Here is a 13,138-nt window from a genome sequence, read left to right on the forward strand (position 1 = left end):
CTCTCCAAGCCTCAGTTTCCTCATGTGTGAAAGTCTAGCAATAATATCAATTTCACTGGGATATAATAGGGAATAGCAGAAGCTGGAGCAGAAATACGTGGCCCATGATACATACTCTGCGGGTGCTAGTTTCCTACTTCTTCCTTCCACAGGTAAAAAGGTAGGCATTAACTCTCCTCAAGTCATGCTGCTCCAGGTTAAATAACCCTCCAGAAACAGTTCCATCTTTTTGGCTCTTTTTTGGGCTATCTTTTATTCCTCCTTTACCTTCTTGAAACTTGGCAGGACTGACCAATAAGAAATGTTGCCTAAAGATGAGCTTTCAGTACTCTGGAAATTAAGGTCAAGCTGCTGTGTTGCTCTCATAACCTGGAGTATAAATCTGCCCTTGATGTTTGCAGAAATGTCTCCAGGCTTGCCACCACTATTTATAGATCCAAGAAATGACAAGGGGTGCTAACTGAGAAGGAGATCTGTTAAATGCAGGAGGGTTAATCTGACCATGTGATTGCAAAATGCATTTGATGACAAGGACCTCTGCACCTTTCTCCAGAGTTCTTTTAAGTTGTCTCAGTGAGAGGCACTATAGACAGTGTTGTTAGGCTGGGAACTGGGGGGCTCAGACCCTGGAAAGAAGCCACTGGGATTTGCTGATATTGGTATCCCCAATTTCTGTTCAGTAACCGTCTTCAGTGGATTTTTAATATTTCTGATGGGTTGGATGAATGAGTGAAGAATTAATGAATGATGTGGACACCCTAAACCAAGGCTTTTTCTTTATATTATTATTATTATTATTATTATTATTATTATTATTATTATTTTGAGATGGAGTGTCGCTCTTGTTGCCCAGGCTGGAGTGCAGTGGCACGATCTCAGCTCACTGCAATCTCTGCCTCCTGGGTTCAAGTGATTCTCCTGCCTCAGCCTCCCGAGTCGCTGGGATTACAGGTGCCCGCCACCACACCCGGCTAATTTTTGTTATTTTTAGTAGAGACGGGGTTTCACCATTGTTAGCCAGGCTGGTCTCGAACTCCTGACCTCAGGTGATCCACCCGCCTCGGCCTCCCAAAGTGCTGGGATTACAGGCATGAGCCACCTTGCCCAGCCAACCAAGACTTTTTCTACCCCCAATTAAATCCTGTTTAACGACATCAGAGTACCATCAAATCCCTTTTTCCACATTTAATTTTAAAATGCCAGCTCAACTCTTAAAACTAATGAATTTCTAACTGATGTTGATAAAAGCAAAGAAAAGACTTCACAAAATTGTTGATGTACCTTAATGACTGGCAGGACAGCAGAAGTGTGGCACAACTGGCCAGATGCTATGGACGTGATGGAGCCAGAACGCTAAGGATACGTCAAAGGTGGAAGGAAGAATGAACAAAAGACCTGAATAAGACTGGATTGTTGAAGACCCACCAGTGATCATTTTATGGCATTAATGGAGAGCATAGAATTTAAGAACTCATGGTGCAAGACAATTATTTGATGTAATTAAAAGAGCAGAAATTTTAAAGTCAGACAACTGAGAGTTTGAATTCCAACTTGGCCACTTACTGAATAGGAAAACTCAGTTTCTTCATCTGTAAAATGGGCAAATATGTACTTTAACTCTCACAAGACTATTATGAGAATCAAATGAAATAAGCACACATATCTAGAGCCTGGTATAATGAGATAAATGGTAATACTGTGGGTGGACAGAGGTTAGGACTAAGAAACAGATCAAAGGATGGGAAGGGCCACAGGAATCATGCCAGGGTATAGGGGGGTAAGATTGGCAGCAATGACCATAGCAGTGACTGTTCAAGAGGTAAGGATGCTAGGCTAAAAATTGGTCTCAAATGACCAGTCATGAGATTAAAGCCAGAAAGGAAGAGACAGGAAACATCTATCAACAGGGGAAACAGATTATGAACAAATACCCAGGAAGGGAAGGACGTGGTCTGATTTCCTCCAGGGTGCTGGCTCGGCCATAGGGAGAGGCCTCTCTGATGGGTGCCATGGCCCTGGGGGCAGGATGGTCTTGGTGCAAACTGTAAAATAACTCGATATTTGTCTTTGGTGCTATTGTCTCCCTGGTCCGTACTTTTTCTAACTCCTCATTTTACCCTCATTCCCAGAACCCAGTGATTACACACTATCTCCTTCTCCCTGATATAAAACCTGTCTTCCAAACATTCATTCAAACATCTCTGCCGCAGGATAGATGGCAAGTGAAGGTTTAAAACACAAGCCCGGTCCCACAGTTATTTACATTTGAAAGTCAATTAAACAAGAAAGTTGGTTCTGCAAACGTTCTTGGAACTCTGCTTTGTCCCATGCACTGAGACAGGCACTGAAAATACGCAGGGGATAGAAATGCCTCTCTCCTTGGATTAAAACACGGCGTGCTCATCATGGGCACCTGGGCATGTTAGCTGGTCGGTCCTCTCAGAATCACCTGCTCCTCCCAAGGGTAAGAAGAGTCCCAGACACGGCCTCACCAGGCCCCCTCCTGCACACATCCCACCTGGGGGGAGCGTGGCAATTGTTCCCTGTTAACTCAGCCCTCCCTGCCTCACTGCAGAGGGGAAGCAGCCAGGGGGGAAAGCAGGGGAGAGTACACTGGCCTGGGAAGAGGACACCAGAGTTCTAGCCCTCAGTCCTCTTACTCACTTGTTCTTCCAACTTGAGCAAATCATCTTCACTCTCTATGTTTCTCTTTATAGAAACAAAGAGGTGTCTTCAGCTCCAACATTCTAGGGATTCATAGGGATGGCAAGTCATATTGGCTCTGTGACCACTTTGCTTTTTAATAAAATTATGTATGCAGTCATGCCTGGAATAGCAACATTCAGTCAAGGACAGACCACATAAATGATGGAGGTCCCATAAGATTATAATACTGTATTTTTTACTGTACCTTTTCTGTGTTTAGATACACAAATACCATCGTGTTACAATTGCCTACAGTATTCAATACAGCAACATGCTGTACAGATTTGTAGCCTAGGAGCAATAGGCCATATCCTATAGCCTAGGTGTGTGGTAGGCTACACCATCTAGGTTTGTATAAGTAGTCTATGAAGTTCCCATGGCAAAAATCTCCTAATGATGCATTTCTCAGAATGTATCCCTGTTGTTAAGCGATGCATGGCTGCATACACACACACACACACACACACGTGTATATAAGTATTGTATATATGCCATCCATTTAATTATATGCCTACATATATGTATGTATGTGTATATAGACATGTATGTGAATATACATATATACATGTACGTATATAACTTTTTGAAAAAGCAGTCATCAGAGCCAATAGGAAGAGAGAGGAGCATAGATTTGGGAAAACAGTGCTTTAAAGTACAGACATCTTCTGTTAAGAAAAAGTGTTCTTTTTTTTTTTTTTTTTTTTTTGGAGACGGAGTCTCGCTTTGTTGTCCAGGCTAGAGTGCAGTGACACGATCTTGGCTCACTGCAACGTCTGCCTCCTGGGTTCAAGCGATTCTCCGGCCTCAGCCTCCTGAGTAGCTAGGACTACAGGTGTGCACCACCATGCCCAGCTAATTTTTGTATTTTTAGTAGAGACGGGGTTTCACCACGTTGGCTAGGATGGTCTCCATCTATCGACCTTGTGGTCTGCCCACCTCAGCCTCCCAAAGTGCTGGGATTACAGGTGTGAGCCACCGCGCCCGGCCGAAAAAGTGTTCTTAATCACAGAATACCTTCCCCATAAAAAAGCCAAGGACCTACCCAAGCCAGTTAGAATCAAGAATGTGTTTGCTACTCTTTAAAAAGTACCATCATTTTAGAGCGGGGCCCCTGGGCACCTGCATTCATTTCCCTGGTCCCAGTTTAAACAGGGCTCTGCAACAGCTTGCAGGTTCACTGCCCCAACCTGTTGTGCTCACCATCCCTGTGGTGCAGGACAGTGCTCGTTGTTTCTGGGCTGCGTGGAGGAAAATGTAGCATTTGGATAAAACTGTAAAATGAGTGAATGAATTGGTGAACTTCAATATCAAAATTAATGATGACAGTGATGAATGCTAAGGAAGCTATCTCCATACAACAAGTGAAAGAAGGGCCTTCTTCATCCCTGGCCACAGACAGAATTGGAGGGCTCCAGCTTCATTCTTGGGTTCACAGAATTCCCAGGTCAGCAGTGACCTTAAAGCTTATCCAGTCCCAGCTTCCCAGCCCATCTGATACAGGTAACTTTTCTAAACCACGCTAATAAGTAGTCTTCGCAATATTTTTGCAATATCTGTCACAGTTGTGCAGATATTGCAAACCTAAATGTGTTAAAGTGTGGAGGCAAATATCAAGGCATTAAACATTTTTTGGTCCTGCATTTATGTAACACTGCCTACTAAATGAGTGTCTAAAGAATGTACTTGACATTCCTTAGGACCATGTGCAGGGAATCTTTCCTTCAGGGCAAAACCCAACCAAAATAACATGGAGCAGGATAGAGCTTATTTTCCAAGTGTTTCTGAGAAATTCAAGGGCAGTTGGGAAAACATGGAGCCTTACTAGACATCCAAGTACAAGTCCACCTACTCTCCCTTTCGGAAGAATCTTCACCCACAGCCCCCTGCACTAGACAGTCAGGTAGTCTGTGCCCACCACACAAATGATAGCTAAGTAGATCGCCCCCGACCCTCAGGCAAGCAATTCAATTCACCAAGTGAACAAAAGATGAGCTGAACCCAGCAGATTCCACCCCTGGGCATTTAAGGATTAGAAAATGCAGATAAAGATTTGTTGCTAATCAGCTGGTGGAGTACAGTAATGAGGTGAGAAAGCAGAGTGCCCTCCTGGCTCAGCGTGGGGCCAACCAAAGTCACGTACACAACGTTATAGAGTAGCAGAAACTACAAGGAAATGCAGCAGAGCAATTTGGAAAAGGGATTGGGAAGCAGATAGATTGAGAAAAGCAGAAAATAAGAGACAATTTGGCCCCCAAGAGATGGGAGAGATGGAAAGGCCAGCTGATAAGACTTTCCAGGCTCAGCCCTCAATTCTCGCAGGGCCCAGCAGTACTAGGCTCTCTGTGTAAATCAGGCCAAGTGCACATGAAACACAGGCACTAATAATACAGGTTACATTAATAATTCTACATAAAAACTTCAAAGCGCAAAGTATGAACATTTCAATATGTTATGTCATTGTGCCACGCTTGTTATGTCATTGTGCCATGCTCGTTCAGTACCTTCACATCCTCCATGTACTTACTTTCTCAGGCTAATGCTCTGGCCTATTTTATATGATAATGTCAGGAGATCAGGGACAATTTCTTTTTTTTTTTTTTCTTTTTTATAGTGGCAGACAGACATGGTTTTATTTATTTTAAAAAAAAAAACTTTATGGGTATATGGTAGTGTATTTATTTATGGATATGTGAGATATTTTGATACAGGCATACAATGAATGCATAATAATCCCATCAGGGTAAATGGAGTATCCATCCCCTCAAGCTTTTATCATTTCTTTGTGTTACAAACAATCCAATTATACTCTTTTAATTATTTTAAAATGGACAATAAATTATTGTTGACTGTAATCACCCTGATATGCTATCAAATACTAGATCTTATTTATTCTATCCAACTATATTTTTGTACCCATTAACCACCCCTACTCCCCACCCCACCCACTACCCTTCCTGGCTTCTGGTAACCATCATTCTACTATTTCCATGAGTTCAATTGTTTTAATTTTTAGCTCCCATAAATGAGTGAGAACATGTGAAGTTTGTCTTTCTGTGCCTGGCTTATTTCATGTAACATAATGTCCTCTAATTCTATCCATGTTGTTGTAAATGTCAGGATCTCATTCTTTTTTATGGCTGAATAGCACTCCATTGTGTATATGCACCATATTTTCTTTATCCATTTGTCTGTTGACGGACTCTTAAGTTGCTTCCAAATCTTGGCTATTGTGAATAGTGCTGCAATAAAGGTGGGAGTGCAGATACCTCTTTGATATACTGATTTCTTTTATTTAGGAGTATATACCTAGCAGTGGGATTGCTAGAACATACAGCAGTTTTATTTTTAGTTTTTTGAGGAACTTCCATAATGTTCTCCATAGTGGTTGTACTAATTTACATTCCCACTAACAATGTAGAAGGGTTCCCTTTTCTCCATATCCTTACCAGCGTTTGTTATTGCCAGTCTTTTGGATAAGAGCCATTTTAGCTGGGTTAAGATGATATCTCATTGTAATTTTGATTTGCATTTCTCTGATAATCAATGATGTTCAGCACCTTTTCATAGACCTGTTTGCCACCTGTATGTCTTGAGAAACATCTATTCAGATCTTTTGCTCATTTTTTAATCAGAGTGTTAGATATTTTCCTATTGTTTGAGCTCCTTATATTTCCTGGTTATTAATCTTTTGTCGGATGGTTTGCAAATATTTCCTCTCTTTCTGTGGGTTGTCTCTTCACTTGGTTGATTGTTTTCCTTGCCATGCAGATGCCTCTTAACTTGATGTGATCCCATTTGTCCATTTTTGCTTTGGTTGCCTGTGCTTTGGGGATACTATTCAATAAATCTTTAACCAGACCAAATTCCTGGAGGGTTTCCTCAATGTTTTCTTATAGTACTTTCATGCAAGTTTGAAGTCTTAGATTTCAGTCTGTAATCCCTTTTTTTTTTTTTTTGTATATGGTGAGAGATAGGGGTCTAGTCTCATTCCTCTGAATATGGATGTCTAATTTTCCTAGTATCATTTATTGAAGAGACTGTCCTTTCCCAAATACATGTTCCTGGTACCTTTGTTGAAAATGAGTTCTCTGTAGATGAATGAATTTATTTCTGGGTTCTCTATTCTGTTCCATTGGTCGATGTCTCCATTCTTATGCCAGTGCCATGCCATTTTGGTTACAATAACTCTGTAGTATAATTTGAAGTCAAGTAATGTGATTCCTCCAGTTTTCTTCTTTTTGGTCAGGATGGCTTTGGCTGTTCTGGGTCTTTCATGGTTCCATATATATTTTAGAATTATTCTTTCCATTTCAGTGAAGAACGTCATTGGCATTTTGATAGGGTTTGCATTTAATCTATAGATTGTTTTGGGTAGTATGGACATTTTAACAATATTGATTCTTCCAATCCATGAACATGGAATATCTTTCCATTTTTTGGTGTCCTCTTCAATTTCTTGCATGAATATTTTTCATGGTAGAGATCTTTTGCTTCTTTAGTTAAGTTTATTCCTAGGTATTTTATTTTATTTTTCACTATTTTAAATGGGGTTATTTTTTAAATTTCTTTTTCAGATTGATATGTGTTGGCATATGGAAATGCTACAGATTTTTGCATGTTGATTTTGTTTCCTGCAACATTCTGCAAGCTTTACTGAATTCATTTATTGTCAAAAACAAATTGTCAGTTTTAGACAATTTGTGTTTTCTATCAGAACACCTAGCACAATGACATGTTTACAATTTGGGAATTTGTGGGGTTTTTTAGCATCATATGTCAAAAAATCAATAGGATTTTAGCAATTCAAAACTGTATTCATCTCACAAGCTTTGTCAGATGGCTTAAAAAAGATTTTAAACTGTATGTATGTTCTAGTCATAATAGCCCATACTGGACACTACCCAAATATCTACCTCCAGTAGAATAAAAAAATAAATTGTGGTATTTCCATGCCATGAAATATTTTACCAAACTGTGAATAAATAACCTGGGACTTTATGCAACAGTCAGACTGAATGTTGAGAAGAAGAAACCTGACACAAAACCATACATACTATGTGATTTCATTTACATAAAATTCAAAAATAAGCCAAATAAATTTATGGTGTTCAAAGTTAAGACAGGGGCTTCCCTTTTTGGGGAAGGAGGAGGAGTAGCTGAAAGAGATCAGGAGGAGACAGAGACTTTTCCTAATGTTCTGTTTCTTGATCCAGGCGCTGATTACACAGGTATATTCAGTTTATAAAATTCATCAAACTGCTCACCTATGATTTGTGCACTTTTCCATAGATATGTTATTATACTTCAAAAAAAGTCAGAGAACTAGGGTAACTATGATAAAAAATGAAATGAAAACAATCAATAGGAAAACATATACAATTCACAAAGCAACTTTGAGGTTTCTAACATTTTGGCTCCATATTGCTGTTTTGAAAACTTGAGGCAAAGAATGTTATAGGAAACTACTTTGTTAACATGTTTGCTTTAGAAAACTGTTTGTCCTAGGAAGTTGTTCTTGACCCATCTGCTTTGATGAGAAATAATTCATTATGACATCACTAACTCAGTGCTAATTAACTCGACATTTATAAAATGTGTGCAGCAGATTTTCTTAAGACCAAGAACAGAGCTGAAGTTGTTTCTTCTTGATTCAAGAAAAAATTATATTTTTAGGTATAAAAGGACAGATTAACTTTAGAAAAACGATACTCATTTTAATGCTTCCCTTTGATAAACCAAAACCTATCTGAGATGTCCTTTTTTAATAAACATTGGACCATCTCCTGTTCAGCCTTTCCCCCAACAGTTCTAAGCCCAATCCAACCTTCAGTTATAAATGGAGACTTATATGTCCAGAGTGTTGCCAATTCATGCCAAGTTCCCTCTCAGACAAAGTTATGTCTTTAAGTCTGAGCTCTTAGAAGGATGGGAATGAATAAATGTATTATCTATGCACATATGCAGATAACAAATGCATAGAAATTTGCATAAGCCTATTTAGAGAGACGCACTCAACTTTTTCCTGTCAACAAAGGACTTTCACATAGACACATAGACAAGCACTCTTGTTTTTTTCTTTGAGACGGAGTCTCGCTCTGTCGCCAGACTAGAGTGCAGAGATCTTGGCTCACTGCAACCTCCGCCTCCCACGTTCAAGCGATTCTCCTGTCTCACCCTCCCAAGTAGCTGGGACTACAGGCGAGTGCCACCACGCCCAGCTAACTTTTGTATTTTTAGAAGAGATGGGGTTTCACCATGTTGGCCAGGGTGGTCTTGATCTCTTGACCTTGCGATCGGCCCGCCTCAGACTCCCAAAGTGCTGGGATTACAGGCGTGAGCCACCATGTCCAGCTGACAAGCACTTTAAAAAGAACATTTTCTCAAAATTTTCATTTTCCTGTCACTTTTTCAAAACCATCTTCTAACCTCCTATGTCTTGGAAAGGTGGTTCCTCATATTTGAATATTAACTTTTTTTCTCTATTAACACTAATCCTTTTTAGGAAAAATTAGTAGGCTCTTGGAAGAATAAATTGAATTGAAAATAAATTTCAAGGTTTGATTTTAAGTGTTAACCACTCCTAAGGCTGCTTAACTCAGAAATCACCATCAACCTCCTCTTGGTTAAACGTCTTCTCAGGAGGGCACAATAGATGCTGCCTGAGCTCTGAGAGAGCCACAGTGGGTCTGCATTTAGCTCTTCTACTCATTCACAGTGAGACGTGTCTACTTGGATGACCTGGAGTACTCGTTAAAACACAGATTCCCAGGGCCCTCTCTCAGAGATTCTGAAAAGGCAGGTCTGGGCTGGGGGACCAGATTTGTATTTTTAACACCCCAAGAGACTGATGCAGGACCACATTGGCTGACATATTGAAATGTATGCTAGATGCATGCTATGTATAACCCCGTGGATTCTGCACTAATCCAGCAAGAAGGATCAGATGCCCTCAGAGGCCTGGCCACTTCCTCCATCCCCCAATTCACTTCACTTCCCCACATCCAGTCTAAGCACTGATCCCAGGTTGAGAAAGGATTGTATTCCAAATAATACTTTGTAAAGCTTAATTGGAACTAAGAACTCATGTGGCTTTTTTGTTCTTTCTTTTTGAATGGTGCTTTGGGTTCTTAGGCCTCCTTATTTAACCTAGAAGGGAGCACAACCTCAGCACCAACTATGGGATGCCGGGCTCTGGGAGTAGAAGGATAGAAAAGTAAGAAGTCATTGCCAGTTTGTTTCCCAGACAGGAATGATCTTAGGCAAAATGTGGGGGAAGAGCAGGAAGGAGAAGTTTGCTTGACAACCACACTCCTCCTTTTCTGCATTTTTCTCCCTCTTAGAGTTCTTTTTCAGAGGGTATTGGGGTTTTCTAAACTTTCATTCAGCTTCTCCTGGGTCTACCCCTAGTAATCAAGTTTCTTTTACCTAGAGAAGCTAATATCAGCTAAGATTTAAAAGAGAGGCAATTTGATTGAATCAGTTCATGCCAAAGTGTGAGTGGCTGAAACACAACCAGTTAAGCAATATTTAATAGCACAGGTGAAAGTGTCTCTGTGATCGCATTCCACTTCTCCAGTTTCTCCCGGAAGAAGGAGCCTTCCAGGCCCTCAACCATGTACCTGAAAGATGTCCTACTCATCATCTAAAAGTTGGTCAACCCACTTAGAAGCCACACCCATCCCTTGCCACAGACTTACTGACATGCCCCCACTCAGAACCAGAACAAGCCATGGTCTCACAGGAACTCTTGCTAGCACTGGTAAAATTATACAACTCCAACATAACTTCGTCTACTGTTACTTCTTCACTTAAAACCTGTGAAACCTTGACCTGGCTTATCCATAAAAACACCACAATTTCTTCCACATTTTTTCTATTTTTCTTCCTTGCCCATATTCATTTTATTTTATTTTATTTTTGAGACAGAATCTCGCTCTGTCACCCAGGCTGAAGTGCAGTGGAGTGGTCTCAGCTCACTGCAACCTCCGCCTCCTGGGTTCAAGCGATTCTCCTGTCTCAGCCTCCCTAGTAGCTGGGATTACAAGCGCACGCCACCATACCCAGCTAATTTTTGTATTTTTAGTAGAGACAGAGTTTCACCATGTTGGCCAGGCTGGTCTCGAACTCCTGACCTCAGGTGATTCACCTGCCTCGGCCTCCCAGAGTGCTGGGATTACAGGCGTGAGCCACCACACCCAGTCCCATATTCCTAAGTATATTGCAGGCTGTCCCCTTTCCAAAAGTCAATATCAATTATATTAGAAAACAGCAAAGACATTTCCAGCTGCCAATCCAAAAGTAATAATTAGCCTGACTGCCATGTAGTTGACCCTATAGACAGACTGGCCTGTGAACGACTCAATGGGATGTCTTGTCCCCACAAATCTGGGCATAGGTCTCTCTGTCCTCTTTGCGTTGGGACCATCCTTTTCTGCAGTGTCTTTTTTGAAATGCATGGTACTGTTAAAAGCCGCACACAGGACAGACACATGGGAAGCTATGTTGGAGCAAATTTTGCACCATTTTAGAAGTAGGGGAAAGAGGCATTATATACCTTCTAGACTAATCCCAGCATCCATGACAGAGATCCAAGACTTGTGGGTCTAGCCACATGCTTCTCTCCATGCATTCACCCATTTCATTCAATCAACAGCTGGTGAGCGATGCCTCCCAGGGACACACATCTATGACCAGCATTAGTTGGGGGCAGGTGGTTAGACAAGGATGGACCAGAGATAAGTATCAACCTATAAGTATAAGACCTTATAGGTTGGGAGGGGAGGCATGGCATGCCCTCAAACCATAATTATTTAGGGTAAAAAGTGGTAAATGTGATCAAAGAGGTGCAAAAATAATATGAGACCTCAGAGAAAGAAGAGTGGGCTCCCCATCAGGAGAGTCAGAGACAAAATCTGAGCGAGTCTTAAAGGCTTGTGATTGATTTATACAAGAAGTTAGGCAGCGGAAGAGTGGCTCAGGTAGCAGGGACTAAAGGTACAAAGAGCAGAGGGAGAAGGTGCCTTCTTTCTAGCACTGGGGACAGGAGATAAGAGAACCCAGAATCCCCAGGTGAGTTGCTTGGGGCCACCCCCCATGAAGGGCTGGAAGCTGGTCGGTGGGGAAGGCTAAGATTACAGGTGGGTTGGGAAAGCTCCGAAGGACTCTGAGCAAAGCGAAAAGGCGGGTCCTATGGAATGCGCCCCATTTTCCCGGCTCCTTGGGGACTCCCAGGCATTCCTTCTAACAAGAGACATGTTGCCTGCCAGCCAGCAGATGTGGCCCATGAATAAACATCCCTGCAGGGCTGGGGGCTGTGGGGGGGATAATAAATATGAAGAAAGTGGTGGCCTGCCCCTCCATGTCCCCCTCCCTTGCTCCCAGGGCAGCAGACACGCTCTCCCAAAGGGGCGGACACAGACGTCCTCACACCGCGGCCCGACCGGCCGCACATTAATCCGGGTGGATTTGGCCATCTTGTGACATAGCCAATCAGTTCGAGGGAGGGGACGGCAGGAACGCCTCTCCTTTCACGCCACAAAAGGATTTTCGTCCCTTGAGAGCACAATGAAAAAAAAAAAAAAAAAAAGCCAATCAAGGCGGGATCAGCTGTGGGCTGGTCGCTGCAGATCTGTCTCTCCCAGAGGGGGGTGGGGGCACATATTGGTCCGTGTGGGAAACCCAGAGCCTCAGCTTCTCACACATTGTTCTCCTCCTCTTCAACTGCACCCCCTCCCCACCAGCCCGGACCCTCCCCTCTCCCCTCCCCAAAGCCGTTATTGCCACAAAAGATACTTTCCCCATTGTGCCCCGGACAGCTGAGAGGTCCGAGTTAGCCATACACAGCTCCGCGTCCTCTCCAGGGAGAAAGGGGATGGACCCTGCAAGTGGAGAGCGGGATGCTTATCATACAAAGGAATTAAACCCACTTGGGCTCTCTCGCCATCCAGGACTGTGGGGGGTTAAATACGGTTACATTTTCATTAGGTGCTAATAGCAGAAGGGCAGCCCCGGGCAGCACGGACCAGACATTGTTATGAAGAACGTCCCCGACAAGGGAAGGTCAGGGCAGGTGGGGTGGGAGGTGGGGAGAGGGACATGCCAGCGTCAAAGCCGGGTCCAGGGAAGGGGGGCATGCCATGGGCGTATTGTTGGCCTGCGAGTTCCGTCAATGGGAAAAGTCATGTTTCCTCCGAAGGAAACAAGTGGAAATTGTCGGGGAGGGGAAGGGCTGGTGGGTGGCTGGGAAGCAGAGCTCGGCCAGTTGCTACTAAGGCTGCCTTCGAACTGTCCCTCCCCACTGCCAGTTTCTGCAAATGGGCAAGTCTGGTCCTTCTGGAAGGCAGTTCTGGGGAGGGGCAGTGGAAGGGAACGTTTTAATATCAGGAAGAACCGATGTAAATCCTAGCACTAGGACTCTCACTGCTCCTGTAGC

General features: G+C 42.7%; 3 annotated features.

The window, feature by feature from the left end:
• Window positions 11,548–12,456: an enhancer, noted in NCBI's record as "H3K4me1 hESC enhancer chr17:70215132-70216040 (GRCh37/hg19 assembly coordinates)". NCBI's record gives its function as "activates a minimal SCP1, AML or CMV promoter by ChIP-STARR-seq in primed H9 embryonic stem cells {active_cell/tissue: H9 hESC(primed)}" and the evidence as "EXISTENCE:reporter gene assay evidence [ECO:0000049][PMID:30033119]".
• Window positions 11,548–12,991: a biological region, named in NCBI's record as "SOX9 enhancer E7". NCBI's record gives its function as "regulatory_interactions: SOX9".
• Window positions 11,853–12,991: an enhancer, noted in NCBI's record as "E7". NCBI's record gives its function as "enhancer in telencephalon and midbrain" and the evidence as "EXISTENCE:transgenic organism evidence [ECO:0001131][PMID:16458883]".

Source organism: Homo sapiens, chromosome 17 (genome assembly GCF_000001405.40).
Source record: "Homo sapiens chromosome 17, GRCh38.p14 Primary Assembly".
In the NCBI taxonomy this organism is placed as follows: Eukaryota; Metazoa; Chordata; class Mammalia; order Primates; family Hominidae; genus Homo; species Homo sapiens.